The 14,946-nt window shown below is 41.7% G+C and overlaps 1 protein-coding gene across 19 annotated transcripts in view; it reads left to right on the forward strand.

Moving 5' to 3' along the window:
• NPAS3 (neuronal PAS domain protein 3) overlaps positions 1-14,946 on the forward strand; it is an 869,389-nt gene that overhangs the window by 827,578 nt on the left and 26,865 nt on the right. For all 19 annotated transcript variants that reach the window (XM_017021582.2, XM_017021583.2, XM_047431678.1 and 16 more), the window contains one exon: positions 11,975-12,168. In XM_017021582.2, the coding sequence (XP_016877071.1) occupies positions 11,975-12,168 (194 nt within the window). The remainder of the gene's footprint in view (positions 1-11,974; positions 12,169-14,946) is intronic.

The raw sequence follows: 14,946 nt of genomic DNA on the forward strand, positions 1-14,946 counted from the left end.
GAGCACACTTGCAGCAATCTGCACTAGAACAGTCTTTGTGCCAATTACTTCAAAAAGTATTCTTTAAAATAAAAAGGGGGAGGGAGGACTTTTATTTCAGGGAACTTTCAGGTTATAGTGTGGTGGTTTCAATTTTAATTTTTAGAGTCAATCTTCCTGAAATGATGACTTACAGGCTCTGGAATGTGCATCTTTGTTTGGGGGCTCTTTTTTTTAAGACTTTCTACAAAATGGAAATCCTGATAAAGACATACGAATAGCAGCGGGAATCAGTGGTATGGAGGAAACTGCTGTCGCTGCTGACACCACACCCTCATCTATTTAAACAGCTTTGGAAAGGAAACTGCTAGAAGCTTGTTAAGGAGTTTCCAAATGTGTGACTGTAAATGACTATCTCTAATCATGGCTGAATAAACCAAATGCAGCAAATGAGTTGGTGACACGCACAAAAGTCATATGAGTGTTTTGAATTGCATATGCTGAATAGATAATAACCTGTGTCAGTGCCGTGGGGTCTTTTGAAGGTTAAAATCTTAAGTTTGATCGAATCATTTATATAGAGAGAAATAAGCACATTTGGGAAAACAAAAGAGGAAAATGGAAGGGGATATGTTCTCTGAAATGTACCACTGAATAGTAGAAAAATCGCTGGGCAAGAGATTAGGAGACCTCTTTTCTTCTTGTGTCTGCCACTAACTGGCCCTGCATCCTCGGGCAGGACATTTCACCTGACCAGACCTCAGTCTTCGCTTCTTTAATGTGGAAGGGTTGGCCGAGTGGTCTCCATGGCCCCCTCCAGCTCCAGCTTGCTTGAGGTCTTTCTGGGATGCTGAACACAGGAGGTACTTGGCACCGCCGTGGATTCATCCACTCCATAAAGCGAGACATTTCGAGAGGCATATTGTTACCAGAAATTACTCTCATTTAGGATGAAATAGAGGGTTGAATTAAACAGCCTTTTAAAATATTATAGAGTTCAGAGGGTAGCTTAAGAAACATGGAAGAAAATGTCCTGTGCTAATTAATATTAAACACAGAACATCTGTGCCTAGCAAAGAGTGTAAACTAAGAAGAGAATGGAGATAGAAAGTTACAGAGGCTTAGGGTTTTGGTGATGGGTCAAGGCTTTGTACTTAAAGAGACTGGATTCAAATACACCCTGCTAAGGAAGGGGTGGCCTCAGATGCAGTGTAGTCAGGCTCACTCACTTTCCCAATGAAAAAATAGATGCTGAGAAAGGAGGTCCTTGCCATCAAACAGGAACTACATGTTGTCCAACTATGCCAGGGAAACTGAGGAATATTGGCTTCCACTCTGCATTCTTTCTTTCTTACATATATTTGTGTCTACAATGCCTTAAGAGAAGTCTCTTTGTTCTTTTATTACTTTAAGAGTTCCAGATACCTACTGCAGCCTCTTGGGAATTGATCATTTTTAGGTTTGATCACTAAAGAATTTTTTATCTAAATTTGGGGAGTATTGGTTTTTTTTTTTTCCAAAATATATATGACCCACGTGTTTGCTTTAAACAATTTTAACTATAAGAAATAGAATCACTGTTATTTGTGGTTTCCCCTTTAAGGGGATGGCTTCTTTAAAAAAAAAATTTCAGCTCAAGAGACAGCAGAGTTGCACTTCCCTAGGGCTGGTCTACCCATCTACATGGACAATTGTCTTTACTTCTACATCCTCTAAAGCTGAGGAAGACAGGAGTGGCTGGCTTCACATTTTCCTTTATTATCAAAATATAATCATTTATTCTCCTAGAGCCCTTGAAGTTAAATGGGGGCACTGGGGAGGCTATCCTTCCGTGAGGCTGCCTTAACATCTTCTCACAGCAGCAGAATGCTCTCTAGGACTACCATCTTCGGCGGAGGGGTACACGGCTGTCTTTGAATATATGTTGCATTTATTGCAGTTTAGTGTCTGTGTCCAAGTTCTGCTAGCAAACTCAAGAGAAACAAACAAAGAGAAACAAAGTTTAAGTACTAACTTAGAACAAGACTAGTTGGGAAACTCAGGACATTTAAGTAAAACACACATTCAACAAAGGCGTTAAGCAAGAATAGAAAATAGAAAATATTTACGTAATTTCTTTTCTAATAAGAGCTTGGGGGTTCTAAAGAAAATGCATCAATGTAGTACAGTACTTCTTCCTGGGGAGGTGCTAAGTAGGGGGAGTAGGGAAGCAGTTTTTCTTCCTTGCCTGACGTGGGACTAGTTCTGAGTCTTTTTTTATATAACGTTGTTGGAAAATACAATTGCCGTGTGTAATATTGAGAAGAACTGCCTCTCTACCCTCAAGACAGTGACACTAAGCCATGAGGGGCCTCAGGGGGCTATGAAGGGCGACACCCCGCTCCTTTACATCAAGTGATAGAGGAATAAAAAAGTTCCCCTCCACAGTAGTACAATGGGCCTCTGTCCTTCTCTAGGAGACTTTAATAAAGTAACTGAATCAAATGAAATTTGATCAGATGTATACAGTTCAGCCTTCTTGCTTTGCCCCTTAACAATTTATCGAGGTGTTTCTACCCATGGTCCTGTTTTATTAAATGATATTTGAAGTGTTCCACCCTCTGAGAAAATGTGGTTTATATCCTTGGCATACATTTACATAATCTCATTAAGGAGATCTCTCCAGCTTAGTTAAACTATCCCAATAAAAAATCTTATCTTTAGTAGAAAAAGACTGTTTTCTCCAAAGGGAACAGGAAGCTAATGGGGGGGCCAGGCACATTTTGAGAAGCTAAAGCTGTAATTATAGTTATATTTTTTATGCTACGTATGTGAAGTTTGTTAAGAGAGATGGATGGGAAATAATTGTTGTTTGGAGGATACAGTCATGTAAGAAGAGAATGCTGTGGCTAATGTATTTTAAATGTGGTTTTAAAAATAATTTTTTATTTGCTCCCTTAGAAAATATTTCTGCATTAAAAAAAAAAAAAACTAAGAGTGAAAAATTACCAGCAATCTCTCAGCTCCCCACTGGAGCCATCAAATGAAGGGTTAACCTCTCAGAATCCCCGGAATTAATCAGGAGCTCAGCCAGGGGCCGGCTGGGCTAGGGGGAGGGGATTGGCAGAGCTCAGCCTCCCCCAGAGGCTTACAGCACTACAGTGCAGCCCACTGTGGTGCGGCCACTGAGAGAATGCAGACCTTTTCAGAGATAAAGGAGCGTGCACAGGAAATATGCCCTGATCCCACATCAGCCAAGGCTTCCTGCTTCTCATGCACTGATCCTCCATTTTCAAAGAGCCAAAAGGCAACAAGTTATGTTCTACAGAGTAGGATTTTTTTAAGTACAGCTTTAATCATAAATATATGTTCATCTTTCTTTGCTCATTTAGAAGGCAGTCTGTGATGTGCACCTGGGTCATCTTTATTAAGATCTCTCAATTCATTCTGCTCTCCTGATGGAGAGGAAGCTGCAGCTGGGTGGATGGTATGTCCTGCCAGCCACTGTCATACAGGGCACTAGGAGTTCTTGCTGTTATGCGGATTCCCAGGCCCCTGTGTCGATTTAGAAAATCTGAACTTTTGGGGCAGGAACCTGGGAACCAACATTATTAATAAGCTCTCCACGTGATTCCTGTGCACATTCAAATGTAAGAACCACTAACCCCAGAGGTTTTTTGTTTAAAAGAAATCCCTCACATCAGCATTAGGTGTTGTAAGCTTTCCAATTAAAGTAAAGAACAAAATAGGTTTTCCCTCATGTGCCAGGCCCATTTACTCATTTTAATAATTTGGGTGTTGAACAAAGTGAGTTGACTTCATGTGTAAGAGTAACAATACCCATGTTCACATGCATACGTGTACCTGAAGTCTGTTTTCCTTCAGGACTTTAGTATGTCAAGGAGAGGAGATAAGTTAGGCCTTGACTTCTTTCCTTTTCCTGTGCCTTCCTTATGTATAACTTCAGATCTGTCCATTTCCTGAACCAACCTTCCCTTAGTCTCTTCAGGATTCAGACCAAGCATCAAACTATATGCTCCAATTACATCACTCTTCCCGCTCACCTCATTCCCATTTAAAACAAGTGAAAGATCATGGAGTCCCTGATAATTAACACTTTTTATGTAATTGTAGACTTTTTATGCCACAGGACTGGTTTCTACCAGCCTTCGTTCCTAACTTTGGCTGGGATTCTCTCCCTGGAACCCACTTTCACCTGCTCTCTTATCCATCACCAGAGCTGCCCTTAAGTTGAGCCCACCTGAAACCCTGACAACCTAATTCCTGCTGGTCTTCTATCCTTAAGTGCTGAATCTTACTCCCTTACTTCTGTCTAATATTGAATATCCCTGATCTTACAAGAATTTGGTTGGACGAACTCCCAAAAAGACCCCTACCATCCACTTACTTCCTGAGTTGATAGCCATCTCCATACATAGCTGATGACAGCATTCCAGGACCACCTCTCCTGTTGCATCCTCCTTGGCCCTGGAGGAGGTCTGCATTGTCACCCCCTCCCTGGATCTCACTTCCACCTTGTGAAGTCAGCTTTTCCCTGTTCTGCCTTTTCTCATCCACAGTTGCTAAACTCCCACTGTGGCTTATGACAAAGCCTATAGTTTTAGTTGTAAAGTCAGTTTTTAGAACTAAAATCTGAGATCCTGTAAGGGAAAGGAAATGCCATTCTACTCTGCTTCTGCCTCCCAGAAGGTCTAAGGGCTCCTCCTTCAGTTATGAGCCGCCTTCTCCATGGCGCTTGCATCTGTGGAAGAGTCCCTGGTTTCAGCTAAGGCTTGTTTTTATTGGTATTTGTTTTTTCAGGCCTTGTGCAAGGAAAGACCTAGGTGGCAAGAGTGAGACAGAAGCAGATCTGCTAGGGCAGATTCTCCAGCCTATGAATATGGTCTAAATCCTGGAAGCCCCACTCCCTATAAATTTGCATGAAGTAGTCTACACAAGGTTGATATTCTCATGCTGGTTCAGATTAAGTTGTTATGCTGTAGGCTAGATGTTTAGTTTCAGAAGACCCGGCTAAGCCCTTATCTTTCGGCAGGTTTCAGGCCACCTCAGAGCCCCCGTCACTTAAAAATAATTAGCTGACTCTCCCACCTGAGCTAGTGATTTGACGATCTGTATGCTAAACCAGACTTCTACAGAGGAAAAAAAAAGAAAAGGGACCAGAGTGCCAGAAGGAAGCTTAATTTTTAAGGTAAATTTGGATTCCCTTAAAGGACAAGTGAAAAATCTCTGAAGATGCTCTAAACCCAGGGACTCTTGTCTTTTTTTTTTTTTTTTCGTACCTGAAGCCTTTTTCGTTCCCCTAGTCGCCTAGCCCTATTCTATACTTTACATTATATGTGGGAAATAATGCACAGAGTACTTGGCACTTCCTTTTGTTAAAGAGAACATTTTAGATTACTAGAACTGAGATTTATTCCTAAAAGAAAGGAGAATAGCTTCCAGATGTATTTTTCCGTCATGGACTTTCTTTCCTCAAGTATTGACAGAGGGGAGGTTTTATCAAGGTCTTTGTGATGGGCCTGTTTATAATGAGAGGATATTAGTGGAGCACATCTAAGAGTGTATCACCAACAGAAAACTGAAAGGAGCATATGGCAGGAACAGAAATATACATTTGCCCAAATAATGTGGCTTGTTAACACTCCCACATTCATCCTAAACTCTGCGGACATGCATCTAACAGCATCACACACAGTCACTCCTTGCAGCAGAGAAGAAAAATAAAAGTCAAACAATGATTTCCTCACTATGGGATGATCAAATAATGCTAATGTGGACATTTTTATCAAAGATGATGGGATTTCAACTCAGTAATCTTGTGCATTCTGCTTCACTGTTGCTGGCATCCGGGCAGTGCTGTGTAAGGAGTTTAGAAAAATATGAGCTTTAGCATTTTTGTACAGCTTTTTGTGATAAAACAGGAACAATGAAAGGAAACATGAGGATCGAGCTCTTATGTAACACTGAGCTCAGGGGCAAAGAATCTTTTAGTTCAGAAAGCTCTTCTGAAGAATGTCTGTAGATGAGATTTAAGACCAGATTAAGATGAACTTTTTGAACACTGAGGCAGCTTTTACCCAGCATTGGCCAGAACCAAAGCTTATTTCAATTCAAATATGATCTATAAGATCCCTACTAATGAATTATTAAGCTGAATTTATCAATTTGCAGCTGTATTCTGAAACTCCTGCCCCCACTATGGGGCTGTAAAGGAGGAGGTGGGGTAATGCTACAGCACAGGAAGTGCCACTCCATTAGACATTTGGTTATAGAACTCCCTAGAGATGAGTGAGAATTGTAGGCATCATTGCCTGATTCTTTGACACCATTTTATATCTGAGGAAATCCTACCCTCACCAAGCTAGAAGACTTGCCAAAGTTACCAGAACCAGGACTGAAAACAGATGTTCTGTTTCCCAATACAATGTTATTTTTACCGCCCCCCACCAATATTCCTTTCATTTTAAAGTAGATTCTTTTTATAGTTTCATGGCTCTTGACATATTAGAATCTAGGCTTATATATTTGTATTCACCATCATTTTACATTCACCTACTTAACTTTACAAGGAAGCCATATCCATTCTTTGATATGTTAGCACTGGGATTGGTGGTGGTATGGCAAGCCTGGCATTTATGTTAGAATGGAATTGTGGATGGAGAAAAAGGGTGCTTAAGAGCTTTCAGAAAAGTGCTATTTTTTAAACAAAATTATTCTAGAGCAAGAGGACCTCAATTTAGAGAATAACAAAAAACAAAAACATAAGTTGCCTGAGGCTTCAGCTACTCAAAGTGGGTAAAAATGCCTTTGGCACTCTTATGTATGTTTTCTCCTTTGGCAATTCTATTGAATTTCTTGGTTTTAATTATCACCTCCAGGAAGAAAAAAAAATAACCTTCCAGAACTATACCTTCAACTATCATCACTTAAGTGCCTAACTCTTATTTTCGACTATCCCCTGAACACCTTCTCCAGGATCTTCCCAGGCTGCTCAAGTACAAACTGTTCACAGGGAAATCATCTTTGTCTCCACTGGTTACCATTTGGTTACCATTTACCATTTAGTCTATTGTCGTCATCGTCCTGTGGGACAGGCACAAAAATTATGATACCAGCTCTTCTCCTCAGGTCCCATTGCCAATTTCCATTGATTGTACTGCCATCTGGGCCCCATCTCTGTCTTTTCTCCTGCTGACACCAATTGAAATGTTCCTGGATCCATTCAGCTGAAAGTATTTTCTTCCTACCCTGAACTCCTGAAGATCTTATTCCAAACCTTTCTTATGGAACATGCTTGTTAATTAATCAAACAGTATTTGTTGAGCATATAATACACATCAGGCATTATACCTAGGCACTTTGCACACATTTTCATTCCCTCCAACCAGCCCTGAAAGACTTGGATTTTTTTTTTCTTTTTTTTTTTTTTTTTTTTTTTTTTGAGACAAGATCTTGCTCTGTCATCCAGGCTGGCGTGCAGTGGCGGAATCACGGCTCACTGCAGCATCCATCTCCTAGGTTCAAGCAATCCTCAAACCTCAGCCTCCAAGTAGCTGGGGCCAAAGACATGAACCAATATGCCCAGCTAATTTTTTCATTTTTTGTAGAGATGGGAGTCTCCCTATGTTGCCCAAGCTGGTCTTGAACTCCTGGGCTCAAGCAATCCTCCTCCCTGAGGCTCCCAAAGCACTGGGGTTACAGGTGTGAGCCACAATGCCCAGCCTGGAAAACTTTAAAAATGTCTATGAATATTGATGCCAGTGCCCCACCACCTGAGATCCAGATTTAACAGGTCTCAGGTACAGCCGGGACAGGGGGACTTTTCAAGACTTGCTGGTTTATTCCAATGTGTAGCCATGGTTGAGAACCACTGGTGTAACTGCAAACCCATTTGCCAGATATTCTCAGGTAGTTAGTATCACCTCTGAAGCTTTAAAATGCAAACAAATGCTGGACTGTAACCCAATCCTATCAAATTAGAACTCTGGGGGATAGAGTCTGGGAATTCACATGTTAACAAAGCTTCGCAAGTGACTCTGTCACATAACCAGGATCAAAACCCCCTTTCTTGATCAGATACTGAATCATCTCCCTCTTATGGCAATATTAGAAATAATTATAGATGTCTTCCCCCAACTTACAGTCTGTAAACTCTTTGAGGACAGATTTACATTTGATTTACCTTGGTCAGCTTCCTGGCACCTAGCAAGGTCCCTCATAGATTATGTGTCTTAGAAACTAAAGAACCAGGAAAATACCTTTTGTTAACTTTATTCAGAAAAAAAGAACTGCCAGGCACAGTAATCCCAGCACTTTGGGAGGCCGAGGTGGGCATATCAATTGAGGTCAGGAGTTCAGGACCAGCCTGGCCAACATGGTAAAACCCAGTCTCTACTAAAAATACAAAAATTAGCTGTGCATGGTGGTGCATGCCTGTAATCCCAGCAACTCGGGAGGCTGAGGCAGGAGAACTGCTTGAACCTGGGAGACGGTGGTTGCAGTGAGCCGAGATCACACCACCGCACTCCAGCCTGGACTACAGAGTGAGTAAGACTCCATCTCAAAACAAAACAAAACAAAAAATCTTTGCAACACACTTATTTTTTTGTACTAGGTTTTAAATCTTTGATATACTAACCTGGAAACAAAGCAAGTCATTTCAATTGTCTTAGTATCACAGTTGTGCGGCTATTAAGTGCCAGAGCTAGGATTTGAACCCAGGCCATCTTGACAATATTCTTTTCTGTACATCTCAGGCCTTAAAGGCAACTATAAAATGAAAAATTCAGCGATCTACATGTTTGGATACATGCTGTCAGACTTGTTTCTGAAATTTGAACATAACCTGTCACCTGAGGAAAAAAAGCTCTGTTGGCATTATGAAATGAATTTGGAAAAAAATATGTTAATTTAAACCTAAAAATTGTGGGATCTAACAGATATCCCTTTCTTCTCTTCAATTCCACCCTCCCTCAAACCCACACATACACACAGACAGACAAACACACCCTCTGATTGTTCTTTGACATTTCTTGACAACTATTTAGTTACTGCTTTGGTAATTTTCTTTGTTTTCTTTTTAGTTTATATTACTTCTCAAAGATTTTTCAAATAACTTGAGCTTCTAGTTATAAATGAAATCTTTTCAAAAGTTCATATACAGTTTACTTAATAAACTGGCATCTGGTGGCTGGGCGCTGTGGCTCATGCTTGTAATCCCAGCACTTTGGGAGGCCGAGGCAGGAGGATCACGAGATCAGGAGATTGAGACCATCCTGGCTAACATGGTGAAACCCCGTCTCTACTAAAAATACAAAAAAATTAGCTGGGCATGGTGGCGGGGCCTGTGGTCCCAGCTACTCAGGAGGCTGAGGCAGGAGAATGGCGTGAACCTGGGACGCAGAGCTTGCAGTGAGCCGAGATCACGCCACTAAACTCCAGCCTGGGCGACAGAGCGAGACTCCATCTCAAAAAAAAAAAAATTGGCATGTGGTATCTATTTCTAATGTTTCATTCAATGTGAATATGCACACAGGTATAACTAAGTTGAAGTGACTCTTAAACAAGACATGGAAACATAGTTCCAGGCACTATTTGCCATTTACAAGCTAGGTGACTTTGGACAGGGATGAGCCTTCTGGAGCCTCCTTCTTCACCTGAAAATAAAAAGGGAAAGGAGCGAAGATAGACCCTCCCAAATTTTCTTCCAAATGTGAAATTTTATGATCCTTTAAAATAGTCAGTCACTAATTAGGCTTTTGAAAAACACCAAATTAATACTTGGTCCTTGTCCTTACTGGTCGATATTTTTAAAGGCAAACAGAGACGTAATAATAAAATGTGTAGAATTCTTTACAGTTTATAGTCACCGTTATCTCCATTTCACAGAAAAGGAAATTGAGACACAGAGAGGCTGCGTGACTTGCCCGTGGTAACGGAATCAGAAAATTGCGAGTCGAGACTCTTACTGGACCCAACTTTGACCCCCTTCAATAGACTCCTACTGGACCCAACTTTGGCCCCCTTCAGTACCATGATGGCCACAGGCAAAGCTGGAGATCAGAGGCCAGGTCAATCTGACATGCTGACAGCTCCCTCCCGGTAGCCTGTCTGCCTTCCCCAAATGTTTTCCAACCCAGACGCCTTTAAATTGCTTTGGAATAGAATACCAAGTGGGGATTTATTTAGCATATCATTTCTGGATGTGTGTTTTCCTGAGCATTTATAGATCTGTGTTTTTCCAAAAAGCTGAGTGTTCCTGATAAAACAAGACAGATAATGATAAATGAGCATCTATGTAAGCCTAGCTGGGAGGAGGACCAGCGACTGTTAACACCCCTCCTGTGAAGTTAATCCCATTTCTTTTAGCTATTTCTCTATTAGTTAATGAGGTCTTGCACAAACGTGTGTCTGTGATGGTGTTTTAGCATCCTTGCCTCTAGGAACATCTTCAAATATTCATAAAGTAGCTCATCTGACCAAAGCTTAAAGCAAAGGTGCATTAAGTATGAATTTAGTCAACTTCAAATGTGGGTGGTCGAAAAGCTGCTGCTGAAATAACCTAAATAATCCTCCTTATTGGTGCTTCCAGATCCACAGCTGTGGGCGCCGACGTGAAGGGTGACAGGGAAAAGGTATTAGCTGAAGCAGCTAGAACTCTGAAGGGCAGCCCTGTAAGCTTTGATCCTGCTTCCTGACTGACAGTAGTGTGGGCCCACTATTGGAAAACCAAGTAACTTAAAAGAAACAAAAATAAAATGGAAAAGGAATTGCCAGTGGAGCCCCTGGGAAGGAGAGCAGACGCGAGATCATATTGTTCCTGGGAGGCACGAGACCTACTTCCCACTCCAGTTCCTTATAGCAAAGGAGGAAAAGCAGAATCTCAAAAGATAGCGTGGCACTCAGTGATGCATTTGGAGCGGCAAAGCACATATGGACACTCAGCCACTAAACTGAGCTCCATGGTACTGTGAATCATGGCAGTTACCTCTATGACTTGGCTTTGGAGGATTCCCCACACTATAGCAGAGTCGTGGGAACACAGCTAGAGTTGATATGCACATGTGTGCACGCACACCCCCACCCAGCCCTTCCTTCTGCAACCTAAGGCATAGTGGCACAAATCCTGCCTATTTTTTACCCTTTTATGATTTTGTTTCCCCAGAGCATCATTTGAGGAAGTTGTCGCTATGGCTCTTCTATGTGCAGTTTATATGCAAAGTTTGCTTGGTTCCGGGTGGCCTGGACTATTTTGGCCAAGAAACTGAAAATTACAGCCCAATATTTTCCTTCCTATTTCCAGGCAAATACCTCTGAGCTGCCACTAAGATGGTTCAAGTCTTCCTGACCCTACTTTAGTATGAGCTCCAGGGACAAATCATGGGCCAAAGTCCTCTGACCATCAACCCCATAGGGCACTGCAATAAATCACTGTACCACTGGGAACTCAGTGCTGCATAACAGGAAATATCTATCCTTGAAAGAACCCATTCATGTCATTGCCACTGAGTGTTTTATTCATTGGAGCCTTTGGCCTTTTACAATATCAACCCCTGAACGAAGGAGGGCTCAGAAACCACACATCTGAAAGGAGATGGCCATGTAATCCCACTCAAGTACAGACCTGGAGAGAGACAGATGTCGTCCATTAATAAGGGCTAATAATGCACATGTTTCCTTTTGCAGCTCAGTGCTCAACTTATTGGTCATTTTATTTGGTTATGAGTTTTCCCTTAATGTGAAAAAAAAGTCCTTAAAAAAATAGCAACAGCACCATAAGAATGCTGCCTTGAGGAACGCCTGGAATGTAATAATACTATTTCTTTTTTGTCTCTTGCCACAAGGACACTGAGGGCATGCCGACAGCCATTATGATTACAGAAGATACAAGCTAATGTTGGTTGTTCCAGATGTAATTTTGCATTTCTCATAAGAAATGCTGTTATATCTGGGATGTAAATTTGACTGGTGTCCTGTACTTAATGTTGTTTTACAGGTGATTCACATAACAGGCCGGCTACGCCTGAGAGTGTCGCTGTCCCACGGGAGGACCGTCCCCAGCCAAATCATGGGTCTCGTGGTTGTTGCGCATGCCTTGCCTCCCCCTACGATCAATGAAGTCAGAATTGACTGCCATATGTTCGTCACTCGAGTAAATATGGACCTCAATATCATTTACTGTGAAAATAGGTACTTTGTTTTTGTTTTCATTTGCCCTGTTGCACGTTGCACATTGGTGAGGGTTGTGTTTCAGCCGTCTGAAGGATGGTACTCTCCCAGTGAGGTTCATTCTAAATCCTGATCTTGTTTTTAATGGCCACTTGGACTGACACCAAACATGCTTTTTATTTAAAATTTACATTGCTGCCCTGATTTACGTTAGGGACAACAATTAAATGAATCGGGATACCCAGACATCCATATGCTATAAAGAAGGTCCATTTTGGCTGAGAACCCAAGGAGAGAGCAGGGCTTAGATGCCATTGGCAAAATGATGCAGTAAAATGTATTGCCTGATGCCTCATCGGGACCCACTTCTGCCTAATTCGAGGGCCTGGCCTCATGGTGGTCAGTGTTCACACAGACGCTAAGCATGGAAAGAACAAATGAGAATCTGAGGTCCACAGAGGAAAAAGGATGAAAAAGAAATTTACAAAGCTATTAAATAAAACTTTGTCATCCTGAGGATTTCACTTTTATAAATTAAAAAAAGATGACTCATCATACAAATGAGTTGGCAGTTCTTCCTCAAGACTAAGCTTTTATAAAAGGACTTTTTAGCCTCTGGTTAAAAAGTTCACTTTTTCCATTAAGCACAAAGCAAGGGACAAGGAAATGGGACATTGCCCCTTCAGACCTTTCACCTAGAAGTCAGCAGCCCCTTATCAGACTGATTGGAAGAGGAAACCATGGGGTGCAGGGAGGGCCGTGGAGAGGAGCCGCCCACATACCAGGTGTGGGAAGGAAGCTCTGGCGATACTATCCTTCCCCGGGTGCCACAGGGAGAAATACTGCGTCAATTTGGGGAGGATGCTTTTGCAGCGCTGTTGTCAGGCTTATTCACTGAGCCCTGCAAGTGCCTTCAGAGGAGAAACTGAAGATCCGAATGGTCAAGTGACTTGGGGAACTGACCTCTCCAGAGACTAACCAAGAAGATAGCCCCTGCATTCAGTCCACTGGGAAGCGCTGAAGATGTTGAGATCGAGTTGGAAACTGCCTATCATTTCTGAACAGGACCTGATTCAAAGGAAATAATTCACCCTGGGAAAAGATAACCCACCTGAGCTATGAGTGTTCAATAGGGTGGAAGATCTCATGAACCTGTTGCTGTTATTTGATAAGAAACTCTGAATCTGCATTTCAAATTTTGTTGGCATTTATTAAAATGTTTATGATCGTGACATCGTGGGTATGTCTGAGATATTCTGGAAGGGCCACAGAACACCAGGAAACATGCGTTAGCCAGAATGATTCGCTGGAGTTGGCAGTTCCTAATAAAGATGGCTGGCGTTTACTGATCACTTACTACACATGGGGCGTGTGCAAAGCTCATCACCTGCACAATTTCACTTAAGCTTTAGGACAGTCCTGTGAGGCAGGTGCTGCTGCTGTCTCCATTGCCTTTGGGCAATTTCAGCTAAGAGAGAAACGTTGACTGTCTCATCCTCAGCCAAGAGATTCAAAAGCCCATGTAGTTAGCTACATCCTGTGGAGTCTCCTGGAGTCTCTTCTTTTTCTTCAGAAGTCAGACTGAATGGCAAATGACCAGAAAGAATAACCTCTGAGGGGGACTTTTCATACATATGTACCCATGAAAGAACCAAGTTACAGCCCACAAAGCTATTTCTTCTCTAATTAAAAATGTAGAATGCTGGAGAAGGAGATCCAACCAGGGAAGACAGACATCAAATCAGAGGATGGACTGTGGCTTTGCTTTTTTGAAAACACACATCAGCTCCCTTGATTTAGCTACCAGCCACCTCTCCCTCCAAAGAACAGGGCCTCGTCTTATTTACCAAACTTCCAATGATTGTCCTATCCCAAAACATCACTTAATTTTCATTCCTGTGATCAACTCATTAATTCTTTTGACAAGCTCCATGGACCCGAGTGCCTCATGGTGCCACTCTAGTAATTGAGATCATTTTCTGTGACCTGCTTTTGGCGTTTTTCTTCCTCTTAAAAAAAAAAAAAAAAAAAAAAAAAAAAAAAAAAAAAAAAGCTTTTCACAGTCCCCTTTATTAGCCAATACAATACAGCATTATTTCCCATCTACAGATGATAGTAATTATGAAAAATACCTGTATGAAAGGTAATTGCATATTTGATCTGAGGAAAAGCATATTGTGTGCCAGGCACTATGCTGTGTTAATTTCATTCCATTCATTCATCCCCTCACCAACCTTTTGGATTATTTTACAGAAGAAGAAACTGAGTCTCAGAGTAAAAGGTGCCATCAGGATTCTGATCCTGGTGTAGGTCATCCAACTGGTCTGGTGCTTTTGAGATATGTGTTAAGAGACCCTCAAATGCCGGGCTAGTCGCATTCACCACAGTAACAGGCTCTGGTACAGAGAAGGGCTTGGATCGTTTTTTAAGGATTTAATTCAAGAAAAGAATAAACTAAAGAAATGCCTTCCCTAAAGAATGGAGTGGCTTTTTCCTGGGGTTTATTATTTAATTAGGGAATTGTTAACTAGAAACTAAGCCTTGCTCCTTGACTCTGCAGACCATTCTTCTCTGCATTCCCAAGGACGGCCTCAGGCAAAGCCGACATCTAATGCTTTCAGAGGAGCTGGCAAATTTCAGAAACACCAGTGAGGGAGGGTCTTTTAATGACATCCTTGTTCCCTCATTTGCAGAAAGGGGGTTTAACTGTGCTTGGAAGATAGCTAATGGTTTTAAGAAAACACCGACTAATCTGTGTCATACCTGAAACCCATGAAATCCTTAGAAAACCCTCCTTTT

Source organism: Homo sapiens, chromosome 14, assembly GCF_000001405.40.
Source record: "Homo sapiens chromosome 14, GRCh38.p14 Primary Assembly".
NCBI classification, from domain to species: Eukaryota; Metazoa; Chordata; class Mammalia; order Primates; family Hominidae; genus Homo; species Homo sapiens.